This window comes from Homo sapiens, chromosome 15 (genome assembly GCF_000001405.40).
Source record: "Homo sapiens chromosome 15, GRCh38.p14 Primary Assembly".
Lineage (NCBI taxonomy): Eukaryota > Metazoa > Chordata > Mammalia > Primates > Hominidae > Homo > Homo sapiens.
Window position 1 is genome coordinate 50,807,320 of NC_000015.10, and position 5,737 is coordinate 50,813,056.

General features: G+C 44.4%; 2 annotated features.

Annotated features, from left to right (window-relative positions):
• Positions 4,353–4,647: a silencer, noted in NCBI's record as "tiled region #3374; HepG2 Repressive DNase matched - State 9:DNaseU, and K562 Repressive non-DNase unmatched - State 22:ReprW". NCBI's record gives its function as "represses a minimal TATA promoter and a strong SV40 promoter by Sharpr-MPRA in HepG2 and K562 cells {active_cell/tissue: HepG2 | K562}" and the evidence as "EXISTENCE:reporter gene assay evidence [ECO:0000049][PMID:27701403]".
• Positions 4,655–5,174: an enhancer, noted in NCBI's record as "H3K4me1 hESC enhancer chr15:51104171-51104690 (GRCh37/hg19 assembly coordinates)". NCBI's record gives its function as "activates a minimal SCP1, AML or CMV promoter by ChIP-STARR-seq in primed H9 embryonic stem cells {active_cell/tissue: H9 hESC(primed)}" and the evidence as "EXISTENCE:reporter gene assay evidence [ECO:0000049][PMID:30033119]".

The following is a 5,737-nucleotide window of genomic DNA, read 5'->3' on the forward strand; positions in this document are numbered from 1 at the left end:
TTCGAGACAGGATCTCACTCTGTCACACAGGCTGGAGTGCAGTGGTGCAATCTCGGCTCACTGCAGCCTCCACCTCCTGGGTTCAAGCAATTCTTGTGCGTCAGGCTCCCGAGTGACTGGGATTACAGGTGTGCGCTGCCACATGCGGCTAATTTTTGTATTTTTAGTACAGACGGAGTTTCACCATGTTGGCCAGGCTGGTCTCAAACTGCTGACCTCAAGTGATCTGCCTGCCTCGGCCTCCCAAAGTGCTGTTTCTTTATTCCTATCATCCTGCTCAGGGCAGAATGTGTCCTTCTAAAATGTAGGGCAGAAAGACTCCTGAGGTCTGGTTTTGTTGATGGTTTATATTGCTTGTTGTGAGTTCCAAAGATACACATCCTGAGGGAATAACAAAGACTTATTAAACTGTAACATTTAAAATCATGGAACACAAAGCTTTTTTTTTTCATTACTTTTATGCTACAACCCAGACACTATTAAGTACAGATCCTAATTGCCTCACTAATTTAAGAAGAGAATGAGGAGTAAGATAGGGAAGGGGGAAAGAAGCCAAGCAAAGGTACAATTTCAGATGATGTCTGGCCTCAGCCTGATCCTGTGGAGAGCTCTGGAGCATAAGTCATACCTTCAGGCTTATCTAGCTTTGAGGCAAATAAGTTTTGCTTTCATACTCAGACACTACTCAGGCAATGGCTATGGTTCCCTTGGGACAATTCTGGGTTTCGGGGAATAATAGTGAAGTGGATTGATTGAAAGGAAACCAAACAGAAAGTGGGAGATGGGCCCCAGAGCTAATAAAAAAAGGATCAGAGAAGCTGTGGGTGATGCACTGACAGTATCAGCTATGCCAGAGACCATCTATTCTATAGGTTAATGCTTTCACTGTAGGTCTGACTCTTTCAATCAACAGGCAAAAGCTTCATTAGCAACAAGTAGTTGTAGAGGAAGAGACTCTCAGGGCTTTGAACTGTTTAGAGTAGCCTAAGGAATTCAAACATTTTCCTACCCAAGATTCCAGGGGAATCAGAGTAGCAGGAATATGATCATATCTCCTAATACAGTGTCAAAAAACCTTTTAGGCAATTGATCGCTAAGTACAGACCGTCCCCTACTTATGATGGTTTGACTTCCGATTTTTCAACTTTATGATGGTACGAAACCACTACAATTTTGAAGTAATGTACAGTATTCAATAAATTACTTGAGATAGTCAACACTTTATGATAAAATAGGCTTTGTGTTAGATGATTTTGCCTGACTACAGGCTAATGTAAATGTTCAGAGAACGTTTAAAGTAGGCCAGGCTAAGCTGTGGTGTTCAGTAGGTTAGGTGTATTAAATGCATTTTCAACTCGAGGTATTTCAACTTGGATGGGTTTAGCAGGTGGTAACCCCAAGGTAAGTCAAGTAGCATCTGTAAATGTCATGCTACCAGCACTTTAGGAAAGGTAAAACATTTATCAGACTCAGACAGTCCTTATAAGCTTACACTATAGCCAGGTAGATGAGATTCACATGCATGAAACAAGTATGAGCAACACTGGACACGACATAATTAAAGACTGTTGAATTCTGAAAAAAGAGGAATAGACTCCTGTTGGGTACACTCAGAGACTTACAGTATAAGTGGTGAATAAGATCGGATCAAGTCTAAGCACGCAGCTATTCAACAAATGTAAACGATGTCTTTGTGCCAGATGATACGCATTTCAGGGCTTAGGGCTGGGGGACAGATCACAGGTTAGTGTGATAAGTACAATGATAGAGGATGCATTTTGGGGAATTATTTGTGTGCTGTTAGTATTTTTTAGTAGAAAGCTCAATTACTGCATTTCATTGAAGTTAAGTCCCATGAATTGTAAGATATGCCATTATTTTGTTTAGCATAATGAAAAAAAAATAACCTGCCAGTTAAGCAATGAATATGTATTATCAATTGTAAGAAATATCCGAATCACAGAGGTGTTACAATGTAAAAAAAATGTTCATTTTAGAACCAATGAAACAGGGTTAGAGGAGACTTACTTTGGATTTAAAAAAATTTTTTTTTCTTTTTTCTTTTGTCTTTTGTTGTTTTGTTTGCTTGCTTTCATTTTATTTTATTTTATTTTATCTTTTGAGATGGAGTCTTGCTCTGTTGCCCAGGCCAGAGTGCAGTGGTGCCATCTTGGCTCACTGCAACCTCCACCTCCCAGATTCAAGCAATTCTCCATGCCTCAGCCTCCTGAGTAGCTGGAATTACAGGTGCCCACCACCATGCCTGACTAATTTTTGTAGTTTTTTTAGTAGAGATGGAGTTCTGCTATGTTGGCCAGGTTGGTCTCGAACTCCTGACCTCAGGTGATCTGCCAGCCTTGGCCTCCCAAAGTGCTGGGATTACAGGCATAAGCCGCCATGCCCAGCCTCTCTTACTTCTAATTAGAACTAGTTCAGTCTTGTAACAAAGACCAATAATAATTTATGAATAGTAGCTAATATTTATCAGATGCTCAGTATGGACATGACCTTGGGCTAACTGCTTTTTACCCATTACTTAATTTAATTATTTCTTAATCCATTGAGCAAAGGTGTTAGTATCTCCGTTTTACTGATGGGTAAACAGATTTAAAGAGGGTAAGCAATTTACCTGAGGTCACACAGTGGCTGAGTATTCCAGCAGAGATTGAAATGCAGGTTTGTCTATCTCCCAAGTTTATGCTTTTAACCACTGGGCCACTAGGTGATCTAATAAAGACCTGATTTCCTGCAAAGGAAAAAAAAATTAAGATATTTCATTCCAGTCAGCATTTACCAGTACCATTTTTTTCTGAGGGAGCTGTTAGATAGCAAAACATTGTTCTGGCAACTAATAAGAAGACTATCTTGAGACTAATGCATGACCTATCTTAAACTATGACTATATTTCTGATGTTACTATTGCATAACTAGACTTTCTACAGCCTTTTCGAATTATACTGCTGGATAATGGATTTTAAATTGCATGTTTAAGTAGAATAAGAACTCTATAGTTAGTGGGTTATACTTAAGTGACCACAGAATAGATAAGGTACCCAATTAAAGAGTACATTTCTTCCAAACCCATAATTTGTGTTAGGATATTTAATTACCATCCTCTATGTGCAGGCATGAATTTTGATCCAGTAGCAATGAAGTCTGGCCCAGAAGTTTGCAGACTCAGAATTATTTATCAGCAAGTATCACTTAACTCGCATTCAACAACAACTGTTTACATTCACAGACAATTTTGGGTTGTCTGAATTTAGAAGAGGTTGGCTAATCCTTGATTAACTTGAGGTAATGGATAGAATTCTAAGATAAAAATGTCAGTTTGCTAGCATCTTAATAGGCTTAGTCTGATCACCCTATAAACTGAACCAGGAGTTTTTAAACTTTTTGGTTTCAGAACCCCTATACACACAGAGGACCTTAAAGAGCTTTTCCTTATGTGGGCTGTAACTATCATTATTTACCATATTAGAAATTTAAATGGATACAGCCATAAAAAAGAACGAGATCATGTCTTTTGCAGGAACATGGATGGAACTGGAGGCTATTATCCTTAGCAAACTAACGCAGGAACAGACAACCAACTACCGCATGTTCTCACTTACAAGTGGGAGCTAAATGATAAGAATTTATGAATACAAAGAAGGAAACAACACAGTGGGGTCTTCTTGAGAAGGGTGGATGGGAAGAGGGAGAAGAGCAGACAAGATAACTATTGGGTACTGGGCTTGATCCTGGGTGAGGAAATAATATGTACAACAAACCCCATGACATGTGTTTACCTGTGTAACAAAACCTCACATGTACCACCAACCTAAAGTGGAAGTTTTTTAAAAAAGTATAATAGTGTTAGCAGTGGAAGTTATTTGACTCACACAGCACCAAAATATGTTACCAGTGGCGAATCTCTATGGGTCTGCAGCAACTTTAATTCCTACCACCTCAGAAAAAGAATTCGACTGAGGGGCATAAGACAGAAGAGACTGAAGCAAGTTTTAGAGCAGGAGTGAAAAAGTTTATTATAAAGCTTTAGAGGCCGGATGCAGTGGCTCACACCTGTAATCCCAGCACTTTGGGAGGCCAAGGCGAGCAGATCACCTGAGGTCAGGAGTTTGAGACTAGCCTGGGCAACATGGTGAAACCCTGTCTCTACTAAAAATACAAAATTAGCCAGGTGTGGTAGACGGTGCCTGTAATCCCAGCTACTCAGGAGGCTAAGGCAGGAGAATCACTTGAACCCGGGGGGTCAAGTTTGCAGTGAGCTGAGAGTGTGCCATTGCTCTCCAGCCTAGGCAACAAGAGTCAGGGAAAAAAAAAAAAAAAAAAAGCTTTAGAGCAGGAATGAAAAGAAAGTAAAGTACACTTGGAAGAGGGCCAAGCGGGCAACTTGAAAGACAAGTGCGCAGTTTGACCTTTTGACTTGGGGCTTTATATGTTGGCATACTTCTGGGGTCTTGCGTCCTTTTGAGAGGTGACAGTGTGCTGGCAGCCCTCACAGCCCTCGCTCGCTCTCGGCGCCTCCTCTGCCTGGGCTCCCACTTTGGCGGCACTTGAGGAGCCCGCCGCTGCACTGTGGGAGCCCCTTCCTGGGCTGGCCGAGGCCGGAGCTGGCTCCCTCAGCTTGCGGGGAGGTGTGGAGGGAGAGGCGCGGGTGGGAACCAGGGCTGCACGCGGTGTTTGCGGGCCAGCACGAGTTCCGGGTGGGTGTGGGCTCAGCAGGCCCTGCACTCGGAGCGACCGGCCGGCCCTGCAGTCCCTGGGCAATGAGGGGCTTAGCACCCGGGCCAGCGGCTGCAGAGGGTGTGCTGGGTCCCCCAGCAGTGCTGGCCCACCAGCGCTGCACTCGATTTCTCGCTGGGCCTTAGCTGCCTCCCCGCGGGGCCAGGCTCAGGACCTGCAGCCTGCCATGCCTGAGCCTCCCCCACCCTCCGTGGGCTCCTGTGCCGCCCGAGCCTCCCTGACGAGTGCCGCCCCCTGCTCCACGGCACCCAGTCCCATCAACCACCCAAGGGCTGAGGAGTGCAGGTGCACGGCGTGGGACTGTCAGGTAGCTCCACCTGTGGCCCCGATGCGGGATCCAGTGGGTGAAGCCAGCTGGGCTCCTGACTGGTGGGGACTTGGAGAACCTTTATGCCTAGCTAAGGGATTGTAAATACACGAATCGGCACTCTGTATCTAGCTCAAGGTTTGTAAACACACCAATCAGCACCCTGTGTCTAGCTCAGGGTTTCTGAATGCACCAATCCACACTCTGTATCTAGCTACTTTGGTGGGGACTTGGAGAACCTTTGTTTCAACACTCTGTATCTAGCTAATCTAGTGGGGAAGTGGAGAACCTTTGTGTCTAGCTCAGGGATTGTAAACGCACCAATCAGCACCCTGTCAAAACAGACCACTCGGCTTTCTGTAAAATGGACCAATCAGCAGGATGTGGGTGGGCCAGGTAAGAGAATAAAATCAGGCTGCCCGAGACAGCAGTGGCAACCCGCTGGGGTCCCGTTAGACACTGTGGAAGCTTTGTTCTTTCGCTCTTTGCAGTAAACCTTGCTGCTGCTCACTGTTTGGGTCCACACTGCTTTTATGAGCTGTAACACTCACCGCCAAGGTCCACAGCTTCACTCCTGAGCCAGCGAGACCACGAACCCACTGGGAGGAAGAAACAAACTCCGGATACGCCGCTTTTAAGAACTGTTAACACTCACAGCAAGGGTCCGTGGCTTCATTCTTG